We start from the raw sequence: 14,144 nt of genomic DNA, 5'->3' as shown, positions 1-14,144 counted from the left end.
CTCGAACTCCTGACCTCCAGTGATCTGCCTGCCTCAGCCTCCCAAAATGCTGGGATTACAGGTGTGAGCCCAGCCTCTAATTTTAGAAAAAGAGAAAAAAAAAAAAAGGAACTGGAGAAAGTTCAGCTTCTCTTAATTAAGAAACAATCAGGCCCAGTGCAATGGCCTATGCCTGTAATTCCAGCACTTGGGAGGCCAAGGTGGGTAGATTGCTTGAACCCAAGAGTTTGAGACCAGCCTGGGCAACATGGCAAAATCCCATCTCTACAAAAAATTAAAGAAGAAGAAACAATCAGAAGCTAATAGGAAGCTGTAATTAAAGTTTGATATGTTTTAGAGGAGATGAAGAAGAAGGCAATACATCCTTTGGGCTGGTCAGTGGTATTTTCTAGTGAATATTCAGAATCAGAAAGTATAAAGGAAGCTGAGGCTGTAATTCACATTCCAGAGAGAACCTGTGATCCTTTCTGTTCCTCTCCTCTCTGCCTCTGTTGAAGGCTCGAGGGTGAAAGCTGTAAGTTGAAGAGGACAAGCCATCAACAGAGGGTGACTTATGATGAGAAATGAAAATATTTGGATTAGCTATAATACTAAGCCAGTGATATTTACAAATTATTAAACTGCCATCCTCACATCAAACGCTTTTTATTTTATGAAATGCTAAGCTGTACTTTTAGTTTGTTTCAAACTGTCAGGGCCATTATTTGATGTCCCTCTTTGTTTATCTTAATTAAGATGTAGAATCAATCATTTTTACTTTCTCTCTCCAAGAGCAGCAGTTGGCTCAGAGTCAGGATGAGGTCTGGCCACCCTTGAGTGCTGTGCAGGTGCTGAGCCGTGTTTGTTCACAGAGGGATAAAAAACACATTTGTTCTCCAGGTTGTGTGGATAGACTGACAGATTTTGATAAGAGGGAAAAAAGTCTTCCTCTGTGGTGAGAAATAACATTTCTATCTAGAATAAGTGAAAACAGTGGCAAATATCATTCCTGTTATGGAGATGATTTTCCTCAACACATAGTGACAACTCAGCTGGGGGTGGGAAACACCAAGGTAGGTTGGAAATAGGAGGCAGAATGTGGTGACCCAGATCAGCAAGAAGCAGAAGACGGAGAGCCCTAAACCTTGTCCTGTGAATATGACAGTTGTTCTTGCCACACTAGCTTTCTTTTCCATTCCTGATGCCACAGTTCAATCTCCAAGCTGCTAGGTCATAGTCTCCTGAAAGTAGAATGGCTTATTGTTGGAGAGACCATTTCATATCCAAACTACTTATGTTCCTCTTTGCATAGAGGTACTTCTGGCCCATCAACTCTGTATAAGGGCCTTTGCAGGGCGTTTACAACAGTACAGCTTTTTTTTTTTTTTTTTTTGAGACAGAGTTTTGCTCTTGTTGCCCAGGCTGGAGTGCAATGGTGTGATCTCGGCTCACTGCAACCTCCGTGGTGTTCAAGCACGGGTTCAAGCGATTCTCCTACCTCAGCCTCCCAAGTAGCTGAAATTAAAGGCACCTGCCACCACACCCGGCTAATTTTTGTATATTTAGTAGAGATGGGGTTTCTCCATGTTTGTCAGGCTGGTCTCGAGCTCCTGACCTCAGGTGATCCACACGCCTCAGCCTCCCAAAGTGCTGGGATTACAGGCATGAGCCACTGAGCCCGGCCAACAGTACAGCTTAATTCTGCTGAGGCACCCACTCTTTCCTACTCAGCCCCCCATTTTAAGAAGCATGCATCCCCTCAGAATAACTAGCCAGGGGTAGAGAAGCAGTCAACTAGACATGGAACAGAACTGAATTCTGCACGCCAATCAACCCACTTGGGATAAAGCCTTGTCTCCTTAGCACCAGGTCACCTTCGTCTCCTTAGCACCATGTTTCTCTATCTAACTGAGGTAAATAGCCATACGATTCAATGAGCTGGACAAATGAGAAACACAAAGAAAGGAAACAAGTCTATTGCATGATTTAGGGAGATCAGATTGGAAAAGATACAGTGCTTTACTTTTAAAATCATCCTAGTCAGTGAAGCAATCCAAACATTGCCATAGACTTAAACAGATTATTTGTATTTTATACCACATGCATCTAGAACAGCATTATCTGTAACCCTCAAGCACTTGGAGCCCTAGAGTTAGGGAAAAGTATACCTTTTCATTGATCAGAATCTTTTTAAGCACATCTAAGCAAATTTGGGTGTGAAATTAGTACTAACATTTCTCCTACTTTTTGTGAGCACTAACAGCTAGCGCACACTCCAGTGGTCTTATATGTTGTTCTGCTCCTGACAGTGTTATAGAAGTTAACTTCAGGAACTTGGACAAGAAGGCCTGTATTCCAGTCCTTCCTTAGGCAAGAGGTGGACTTTTGAATCACATAATTCCAAGAGGAAACATAACCTTTCAAAAGATAAACCAACACTTCATTTATTTGAGGCCTCTGTTATGATTCTTGGACCACAGATAACTACTTTGAACAAATTCTCACTCTTCATTAGTGGAAAACACTTTCCTCTAATCGCCACGAATTACCCAACACCTGGAATTAAGCAGTCTTCTCTTACCATACTCATTTTCTTTCTTTCCAGTGGGATATTCTAGGTTCATAAGGTGACTGCCAATACTTATTTAGCTGTGTGCAGTATTACTGGTGTAGCTGAGACTGCTAGCTAGCCCCCAGTTCTGGGTTCGTGGCTGCCCAGAACAACTCCCTGCCTCCACGGCAACTAGATTTGACCACGTGATTTAACTTCTGGTTAGTGGAATGTGTAAGTAATGTGTCAACTTTTTAGGGCCACACACAAGTGTCCTTAAGCAGGTAGAGGGATGGTGGTGCTGTCTGTGTTGCCCCTTTCCTCCTTCCTGCTGGCTGGAACTGGAGCCAGTTTGGACCATGACGAACAAATGACATACTTTATAAAGATAGAAAGAGCCTGAAGAGGAAAGGGCGAAGGGTTTGAAACATGGTGGACGACATAAACCAGCAACAAACTACCAACACCATAGAGGAGCCCCTTGATTTCATCAGGCTCAGCCTGGATAAATGAATTTATGGATAAATGAGAGATTACCAGGAGCTTCTAGGCAGATTACATGCTTATGATCTACATTTAAATATGTTATTGGGAGATGTGGAAGAAACTGTGACTACTACAGAAATTGAGGAAGAAGCCATCATATATAAGAGATATATAAATCAGCGAAACAGAATATTCGAATGCTGTTTTTCCCAGAAGATGTTTTGTCCTGGTTGTCCCTCCGTTGAGAGTTGGCTGAAACAATTTATCCCATATGGAAAATAGGAGATTTTGTACAGGTACCTCTTTAAATGTTCAGGACATTCAAAAGAGAAACCAGCAAACATTTTGATATTAAGAAATTCTCCCACTCCTGAAATGAATTGATTTGCAGACAACTCATAACTTCTATTAAAAAAAAATTTTTTTTAATAGAGGTGGGGTCTCACTGTGCTGCCCAGCCTGGTCTCAAACTCCTGGGCTTAAGCCATCCTCCCACCTTGGCCCTCCAAAGTGCTGGGATTACAAGCATGAGCCACTGCACCCAGCCCAGATAATTCATAACTTCTTAAGCTAAATGGCATTTTTATTTTTCTCCAACCCTTCTAATAAATGTGATCACCAAGATGCAAAACTCTTTTTCAGGAAAAAAAAGAGGAGCATGAAGTGCCCTCCCATTCCTGGGGTGCCTCCCCCCAGTCTTTTTATACATGAGGGACAAATTACCTTCTATTTTGTTAAGGCCTCTATTATTTGGGGCTTTCCGTCACACTGGCTAAACTAATCCTAATGATACATCTGGTAAGGACTTCCTTTGGAGGGTAGCCGAGGACAAACCGAGCAGGGTAACACTCGGGAGGAGACTATGAGGAATAGAATGGGAAAGATACCACAGTGATGAAATGACTACAAGTGGCCTCCTCAGCCATGGAAACGATTAAAGCCAGAGTTATATTAGCACAGATAATAATTTCTTTAGTATTTCTTAAATGGTGTTATGCAGAAGTCCTAACTTTTATTGGTTGATTAATGTAGTTTATTCTAGTCTTGGTAATAATGATCCTGGGTAGTTTGTTAAAATTGCTGTGAGTACAAGTTGTCTTGGCTCTTTTCCAGGTCACCTTTGGTTACTTTGGTGCCTATAGCACTTCTCTTGCCCCTCGTGCTTGTTCTGATACTCACTGTCCAGGCCCTCCACCTGGGGGCCTCCCTGGGCCCACCTCACCAAGGCCCTCCAGCAAGCCATCAGGATGATAAGGACCTAACATACAAATCTACTCTGAGGCTGTGGTTCTTAGCCCTAGGTGAGCATCAGAACTACTCATAGAACTTTGTAAAAATAAACATGCCTCAGCCCCACTCCAGATAATCCTGAATCAGTATATCTGGGGTGCAGTTCAGGTATCTACACTTTTTTAAAAAGTAGACAGGTGATTCCGATGTGCAGCCAGAGTTACGAACCACGGCTCCAAGGTGTCGATGACTGATAATGGCTCCGTATAACAGTGCCAGCCACACACACGTGACCTCATGGATAAGCGTCGCTACCTGACATCTGTCAGTTATCTACCTCTACTCAGTGGTCTACCGCATAGGTACAGACAGCTGTGCCTTATCCCTAGGAGAGCTGGAGCTCTGTGCCTCCTCCTCCCAGTGATTTCTGATGTACTAGCTTGTTACCACACTGTGGATGAGAATATCTCGATTAATGTGCTACCTCTCCCAGAGGCATTTGTAGTTCAACAGGGAATAATGCTTTAATCTAAGGGAATGGGCCCCAAATGATGGAATTTCAGGAATTACAGAAGTCAGTTGAAAAGATATTTTGGAAGAGGGGCCCTTTTCCAGTTAACTTAAACACACACCATTTAAGCAGCACCAATTCTACTTATAAAACAACAACAACAAAACAACCGGGCCTGATTCAGAAGATGTTTTAGACTTCTGAGGGGAAAAGTATCTATTTCTTCATCTTCCTTCACCTGCTGTTTGAAATCACCTTCAGCCCTCACACTTTCTCTTACCTCTAGAGAAGCAGTGCTGTTTGCCCCTAATTCAGCCATAGTTAAATGGCAAGAGAGCTCATGTTAAGAGAGCACATTACACTCTTCTGAATATCCTTTCATACATGGAATCCAACCTTAGAACACAGAGCAAAGAGTCATTTAGTGATCATTCCCCTGTTACAGCACAGGCACAGTCAGTCTAATCAATATTTTCATGTATCTGGCCAGCTTTTACAAACCTGGGGTAATTAAGATTCTACAATGTCTTAGGTAATCCTTAATATTTCACTGGCTTTTCTTCTCAACTATTTTGTTTCTTATTACTTTTATCCTATCCTTCCAGACTCTGTAAATACAAACCTAATAGGACTATTATAAAAACCAAGTTAAATAGGAGGTTTGACAGTGCTCTAAAAAATTTTAAAGCCCCACATAAATGTATAATAATGTTTCTATAATAAGGACTGTATTCTTTGTGTAGCAGTACTTAAGTTTTTGATGGAAAGAGGAGGAGGAAAGACTGAGATGTAGACAGACTAATGCTAAGGATTGCCATGATAATTCCTTCTGTTCCTGCCTTGTCCACTTACTAACTAGGAGGCTTGAGCAAGTCACTTTAATTTCTCCATCAAGAGAAAAATGGTCATTTTTCTTATTATAGAAAATTACTCATATTATAGAGGTAGTGGTGAGGATTAATGAATCAAGGTATATTAGGAGAAGTAAGCATCCATAGATTTTGTAAATTCTGCAGAAAGAATCTGGAAGGGAGATTTAGATACAGGCCCAAGTCCTAGCTAGACATGGAACCCTGGCATCCAGACACTTGCCTCTCACTTCTAATTATTAGCACACTCCCTCTGCTAAATAGGATTAAAGGAAGAGCTTTTGTTCTTGTCCATTACAAAAACACATTGAATTGTCTATGGTGATTTTGTAACTGTCAAAGATTTGTTGCCCTGGAAATAAGGATTTGTAATAAGAGTGTTATCACACCTTTGTTGGTGTAAACTGTTCACTAGGAATAGTCAAAGAGATAAATGAAATATAAACAGGACAATGGGCTAAGTGCAGCCTCCCCTAATTGTTTATTTTCTTTCCAAACTGGCAAGAAGTTGTTGGAGTTTCATACTTCATTTTATATACAAATTGAGGTCCTGGGGGAGAGTATCCTTCATGTGAACAGCTCTCCCAGTTACAGGAGAAAACTGAGTAACAGTAAAACCCTCGGGGACATCATTTAATATTTCCAGCATTTCACATGAGCTACTGACACTTGGGTCTTCAAGGGGAAAGCTGATTTATACCTTCAGTCGTTAGACAATGTAAAGGTGAGGTCAGGCATAGGCATCCTTCATCCCTTTCCCCGGTGCTCACAGGTCCCTTGGGCAAGGTGGAATCAAAGCATTTCAAATGGTAGAGGTCACAGGAGTGACATGGTAAGAGGTAAGAGAGCACAGCCTCCTTCCTCTACCAGTGGGTCTAACGCCCATATATCTTCATATTGCCGTTGTTTCCACTTGAAAAATTACATGCAGTTGGTTTTACTTTTCCTTCCTTCCTATTCTGAAAACACGATTTCCACTCCCAATCTAAAGTATAATTTATGTCAAGACTAATGATTATGTGTTTCTGATTATTTTTTAAAAAGGTGAAACCTTTAACATAAATGCAAGACAACAGGTGTCCTGTTTTATAGCCTTGTACTTTTCCAACCCTATAAATTAAAATCATGTCTGTGCTGTCTCTGTCTTTGCACTGATCTGAAGTCATTCTAGGACATTCTAGGAATTCTGTGCTCTCTGGCACAAAACCTCCCACGTGGAAGGTTCCAGATAAATTTTTCTTGATTTGATTTGATCTACAGGTACTTGATCAAATTCTGGTCATGCCCAGTAATACAATAATACTTTGTAAATTGCAACCCAAGTTTATACCCTGGGCTTCTGACCCCAAATTTCATAATGGGATTCCATACCTTTTATTCCTTATGAAATAAAACAGCTCTCCAGTGGAAAGAGACCTCCTGCTTTTGTGGGTCCCCTTGCAATGTAGGAAGAGCTAAGGCAAATTAGACGTATGGTATAAAGTACAATATTAGAATTGTAAATGAGTCTTAAAATTACATACAGACTACAGATTATTAAAGTATTCTTAAGACAATATCTAATTCAAATATAACTTTATGTAAATTTTTTTTCTTTTTTTTTTTTTTTTTGAGACAGAGTCTTCCTCTGTTGCCCAGACTGGAGTGTAGTGGCGCAATCTCAGCTCACTGCAACATCTGCCTCCCAGGCTCAAGCAATTCTTGTGCCTCAGCCTCCTGAGTAGCTGGGATTACAAGCATGCATCACCACATCCAGCTAATTTTTGTATTTTTAGTAGAGATGGTTTCTGCATGTTGGCCAGAACTCCTGGTCTTGAACTCCTGGCCTCAAGTGATCTGCCTGCCTCGGCCTCCAAAGCGCTGGGATTACAGGCGTGAGTCACCATGCCCAACCTGTGCAAGTGGTTTTAATAGCATTGTTTCTCTTCATTCTACACTGGTTTCTTCTTTCTTTTCTGGATTCCTTTGCCACGTACCTTCATACCAAGCTTAGGAATTTTGTGTAATCAGCCACTCAGAATGGACATCATTATATAAATATGGAGACATGGCTGTACTGTGAAATGGTTGAAAAACTATTTTTAAAATTTTCTATTTTTATTTTTATCAAAATAATGTATGCATATAGTTCTTAAAAATCAAATAAAGCCAGGCACAATGGTGTGTACCTGTAGTCCCTTGGGAGGCTAAAGTGGGAAGATTACTTGAGCCCAGGAGTTTGAATTCAGCCTTGGCCACATAGCAAGACCCCATTTCCAAAAAAATTTTTTTTAATCAAATAATACTACAAGCAGTCACCCTGGAGTTCTGCTTTCCAGAGGCAACCCCTTTCCATTTTTTAAAAATTAACTTTTTCATCCATTCTGATGTGTCTCTTCCACACTTCTAAATAATATGATTAGACAGCTATTTTTTTAGTTTATCAATTTCAGACATTACCTATTGATTTTATATTATGATAGGGGAGGAGTCAGCATTCCTATTCCATCCCAGCCATCAATTCCCCATTCTTCATGTTTCGAGTGTGGTTATATCATAATTTTTAGTTAATCAATATTTAGTGTTTACATTAACTATGTAAATATTATTTACGTCAACCCTTATAAAATTGTATAATTAAATTTTATTTCTTTATTTTTTATACCAAGGGGTATAAAAAAAAACGTCTTTATTTTTTACCCAAGAGGACTGGGTTCATAGAGCTTCCAGATAACTGACCACGTGGAGGTTCCTGGAGGGTAGCATAGCCAGGGAGGACATGGAAGCTCCACACCCCTTCCCCCATACCTCACCCTATGCATCTCTTTACCTATATCCTTTGTTATATCCTTTATAATAAACCAGGAAATGTAAAAAAAATTCTTGTTTTTCCTAGAGTTGGCAAATGCCTTGACTTTCTTCATTTGCATAGTTTTCTAAGTCACCATCCCTAATTCTTTCCAAACTTTGCAGAATTGTAATTTTCCACATTATCAAACACACCAGATGATCCATCAGTTCCATTTGTGCTTCTAGTCTCTCCTGGAGATCTCCATCCTCCTCCCCACTCTGGGCTGGCTGCTCTCAGGCCTCCTGCACAGCTGTCATCCTGGGACTTCCCTTTCATCCCTTTCCTTCATCAGAGCACCACGTTCTGGACCCAATGTCACCTTTTTTCTTGGTGGACTCCCTCATTTTGATGGAGCACATATTGTGGTGGCATCCTGAGAAAGGATGCCTGGGAGGTCAATTTCTTGAGACTTTGAATGTCTGAAAACCTCTGTATTCTACTTTTACACTTAACTGTTAGTTTGGGTGTGAGAATGCTAATGGAAATCATTTTCCCTTAGAACTTGGAAAGCTTTGCTTCATTGGCTTCCAGCTTTCATTGTTGCTGTGGAGAATTTCAGTGCCATTCTGATTCTTAATGCTTTGTATGACTTGTTTCTCCCCCCTGATTCAGAAGGTTTTAGGATCTTCTTTTTAAGAATTCTGTTCTGAAATATCACTGTGATTACCAATATGTGAGTCCCTTTTCATTCATGTGCTGGGTGTATGGAGGACCATGTCAATCAAAAGATTCCTATCATTTTGAGAAATGTTATTATTTCTTTGATAATGTCCTTCCCTCTGTTTCTGTGTTCTAATACTTTTTATCTTTTCTGGTTTCCTTTTCTTGATCTTTTTGTTCTATTTAAGATTTCCTTGGCCAGGTGTGGTAGCTCACGCCTGTAATCCCAGCACTTTGGGAGGCCGAGGCACGTGAATTGCTTGAGCCCAGGAGTTCTAGACCAGCCTGGGCAACATAGCTAAACCCTGTCTCGACCAAAAAATCCAAAAATTAGCTGAGCGTGGTGACATGTGCCTGTAGTTTCAGCTACTCAGGAGGCTGAGGTGGGAGGATTGCTTAAGCCTGGGAGGTGGAGACTGCAGTGAACCAAGATCAAGCCACTGCACTCCAGCCTGGGCAACAGAGTGAGACCCCATCTCAAAAAAAGAAAGAGACAGAGAGAGAGAGAGAGAGAGAGAAGGAAAGAAAGAAAGAGAGAGAGAGAAAGAAGAAAGAAAGAGAGAGAGAGAAAGAAAGAAAGAAAGAAAGAAAAAGAAAGAAAGAAAGAAAGAAAGAAAGAAAGAAAGAAAGAAAAGAAAAGAAAAGAAAGAGGAAGGAGGGAGGGAGGAAGGAAGGAAGGAAGGAAGGATTTCCTTGACAAGTATTTCTACCATCTTAAATCATGCAACATTTTAGTAGTTGGTCTTATGGAACTCTTAGCTTTGGTAATGTGGGATGTGCTGCTCAGATTCTGCATCAGAGCTATTCTTGTTCCTCCTTTCATGTGCTCTACACAGTTTGACCCATAGAAGTCCAGCAGTCCCACTCAATGTCTGGGGCTAAACATCCCTGTGAACCTCATACAGCCCAGGTACCTGTCTCTTCTCTGGTAATGCCAAAGATCAGATCCCATTTTAAGGCTGAATATCCTGGACAACTCCCAGGCATAATGGCTCCATTTAGTAGTATATTACTGTAGCCATTCTTAGCAGAATGGGGTTCCTAAAAATCATGAAATTTGGGCTGAGAAATATAGAATTAAAGCATTATTCATCTTGACTTTATAGTTAGGACCATAACATACATTAGATAAAATGTGTAGCATGGTGTAGCCAAAACAAAAGGAAAAAAAACTGGATTTGGAGCTTAAAAATACCTGAGTTTTGGCTGGGCACGGTGGCTCACGCCTGTAATCCCAGCACTTTGAGAGGCAGAGGCGGGGGAATCACCTAAGGTCAGGAGTTCGAGACCAGCCTGGCCAGCATGGTGAAACCCCGTCTCTACTAAAAATACAAAAAAAAAAAAAATTAGCCAGGTGTGGTGGCACATGCCTATAACACAGCTACTCAGGAGGCTGAGGCAGGAGAATCGTTTGAGCGCGGGAGATGCTCAGATCACGCCATTGCACTCCAGCCGAGATCACACCATTGCACTCCAGCCTGGGCAACAAGAGTGAAACTCTGTCTCAAAAAAAAAAAAAAAGAAAAAAATCTGAGTTTATATCTTGGTTCTTCTTCTTCCCAACTGTGTGAGCCTGTTTCAGCTTCAGAAGGCCAGACTGGTGAGATCTTTCTGTCTGAATGAAGGAGATCAGAATTAAGGAGGTGTCATACACGAAAGCATTTTATAAACACTAAATAAAGTGTTATCCAAATGTAAAGTATTACTATTATCATGTTACTGTTGTAATTATTTGGTCAGGAAAGCCTGAATTTCATGCTGCCTCTCCTATGTGCTTTGTAACACCCAGGCAATTCCACAATTAGAAGTGGCTTTTCAAAAAGACACTTTAGTTCTTTTTTTCCTTGAAAACAAATGAATCTGGAACCAATCTACCTTAGCCATCCAATATGTGCAGCCTCTTTTGTTCAGGAACAACCTTAAGGTAATAAACTTCTCTGCCCCTGTGACAGAGAAAAATGTTAGAAGGAAATGGGTTTCCATCTCAGGCTTCCAAGGTGCTATACCAAACAATAACAAGGGAAAAATTATTCAGTTAAACACACCTGACGTGCATTGGCATCCAATATGCCATCCTCCCCACCAGGCATTATTACTTATATACCTGCCTGTGAGAAAGGCTGCTCGGAAGAGCTATTCTGCTTTTGTCAGAAATACATTTTAGAGACTTTTAAATAAACTTATACAGCAATACCGAGCTGCATGTCTTCTAAACTTTGCTATTTCATCCGTCTATACCAAGTGCCGTGAAGCAGAATGGATGTGCCTTCAGCTTTCTACAGTCCTGGAAAATGAGCTAGTCCACCTAACAATAAATGGTGGTTGGTTCAAACACACATGACTGGTCTAGTGAAGAAGAAAAGAAAGTTGAGCTTAATGAAGTCCAGTGTCTGTGTCCCTGTGCACGGACAGGAAAGGACGAGTGTTTTATAACTGTTTATTGGAGTTAATGGTAATAAATTCCTCACTTGTGATGCATTAACTTTAATGTTTTCATTACTTGGTGATTTAGGTTTTCCCTTTTCACATTGTAAATCATGTTGTCCCAGTAGCAGAGCAGGTCCAGTGCCTGCCATAATGTTCATAATGTTCAGTGGGGAAAGAAATGTTCTCTTTCTCTCTCCTGCATGGTCTGACAAAAGATGCTTTGCCTCATCCCGATTTGCTACTTGCTAAATAAGCAATAAAGACAGACAGACAAACAGATGCATCCAACCACAGTGTAGCAGAATGTGGCAGGGCCTAGTTTAGATTCAAGGGAAATATAGGTCTCTATAGTAACTTTCCAAATGTATTTGGTACTAAAGTTTTTTTCTTTTTCTTTTTTTCCCCGTTTGCTGAGTGTGAGCCCTTAGTTAATGAGCTGTGCAAATAGATATTGAGATTTAGTGTTTTTATTTTGCAATTACAGACTTGGTGATTTGGTTGGAAAATTTTGGGTTTAGAAACATCACCCTCATTTTCCCCTCCTAAATCTTTTTCCTTGCAAAGTTTGACTTCAAACTTGCTTGAGTTTTGTCGGATGAAACAGAAAAATCCAGAAATATTTAAATCTAGAATTTGTAACTTCTTTTTTAAGGGAGGGTGATTTTTGCCTTAAAGGTGACTTATCACAGCCAACATCATTTTTCTGTCTCTGAGCCCATACTGCTACACAGAGACACACATGGAGCTGTCTGAGGGTGAGGTTTGGCTTGGGAGTGGCCCTTTGACCAGGAGATAATACATACCAGGTCAAAGCCACATTGCTAAGATCACTGCTTTCCCATCAAGTTCTTCCTGATGGGGTGTAAGAGTTCTCATTAGATCACCCACCCTGAAATACCCCCAGAGAATCACGATAATTAGTTCCTGAGTCTTCTTTTGTCTTTTCTGCTGTGTTTGCTTTTAAAGTTTTCTCAATGCAGTACTCTGATGATATCTGAATGTCTTTTACTAGAGAGACATAGAGAAGGCAAAATTATTATCATTTGATTCCTCCTTAAATCTTTTGCTTTGGATAGCAACTAAAATAGAGATGTCAGGAGTCTGTCACACTAATCTCCATGTAGCCTTCACCATTAACAGTATTAAATGCTCAGACACACATAAGATGTTTGCTCACAGGATGCAAACCAATGTACATGTAAAAGCTCAAAAGGAAAATGCCATTTCTCCAGGAGATAAATAAAAGAACAAGACTGAGGAAACACTATCAGTGACCAAATTCTCAGCCACTCAAAGTCTATAGCTCAGAAGTTGCTATCAATAGCTATTTCCTAAAGAGTAATCAGTTATTCATTTGGCACAGTCTTTTGCCTGTTTATTGTTTCTTCTGAACCCTGTTCTGGAGATAGATAAGGTCCAAGGCAAACAGAATTGGTGTGCCAATCAGGCTGTAACATGGGACTCAGAAATTTATTTCTTGGCCAGGCGTGGTAGTTCACACCTATAATCCCAGCACTTTGGGAGGCTGAGATGGAAAGATTGCTTGAGACCAGAAGTTTGAGACCAGGAGTTCAAGACCAGCCTGGGAAACATAGTGAGACCCTGTCTCTACCAAAAATAAGAAATAAATTAGCCAAGTGTGGCGGTGCACACCAAGTAGTCCAAGCTACTTGGGAGGCTGAGGGCAGGAGGGTTGCTTGAACCCAGGAGATGGAGGCTGCAGTGAGCCATGATTGCACCACTGCACTTCAGCCTGGGTGTCAGAGCAAGACCCTGTCTCAAAAAAGAAAGAGAGAGAGAGGAAAGAAGGAAAGAGGGAGGGAAAGAAGCAAGGAAGAGAGAGAGAGGGAGGAGAGAAGGAAGGAAGGAAGGAACGAAGAAAGGAAGGAAGGAAAGAAGGAAGGAAGGAAGGAAAAAGAGAGAGAGAGAAATTTATTTCTCTCCATTTGAGGTTCATGGCATTTTATTCTAATTTTTTCTCCAAAATCCTTTTTGGTCCTCTTTCTTTCATTCTCAGCGCTGTGATACGAGCTAACTTCTGCACCCCCACTTTCTCCTTGTTGTCTTGGCAAAATCCTCCTTTCCTTGCCTCTTCTTACTTTCTTGTTTTATATGATACCAACCCTAAGATTAAAGTAGAACAAAAATGACTGTTTGTGACTTAAGCGAAAATGGTTTGACTAACAAATATTCACTTCCATATTGCATTCCTAGATCACAAGTCCTATTAGGCTAGAAGTGGTTTCAGTTCAGTTTAACAAACATTATTGGGTACCTACTGTGTGTACGAGGCCCCTGGGGATAAAAAGAGAAACAAGTATACAAATAATGAATTGCACTGCTCTCTATGAAAGGGACCAGATTTCCCACTGGCAGCTTTTCTTTAGGCTTCCAGAAATTAAATAATTAGTATCACACTCCTTACAGTGTATTGTGTATATTTAAGGGAAAGATCCTTCTTAATTCCACATCAGTTCAACAACTAATTAAAGAATGGCCCAGGGCCGGGCGCGGTGGCTCATGCCTGTAATCTCAGCACTTTGGGAGCCTGAGGTGGCTGGATCACCAGAGGTCAGGAGTTCAAGAACAGCCTGATCAACA

General features: G+C 40.8%; 1 protein-coding gene and 1 pseudogene across 10 annotated transcripts in view; both read left to right on the top strand.

Moving 5' to 3' along the window:
- SKAP1 (src kinase associated phosphoprotein 1) overlaps positions 1-14,144 on the top strand; it is a 311,620-nt gene that overhangs the window by 230,339 nt on the left and 67,137 nt on the right. The gene's annotated exons all lie outside the window — the stretch shown is intronic.
- Positions 2,937-3,443, top strand: LSM3P1 (LSM3 homolog, U6 small nuclear RNA and mRNA degradation associated pseudogene 1; annotated as a pseudogene).

This window comes from Homo sapiens, chromosome 17 (assembly GCF_000001405.40).
Source record: "Homo sapiens chromosome 17, GRCh38.p14 Primary Assembly".
NCBI lineage: Eukaryota > Metazoa > Chordata > Mammalia > Primates > Hominidae > Homo > Homo sapiens.
Note: the sequence above shows the minus strand (reverse complement) of the source record. Positions and strands in the feature narration are given on the sequence as shown.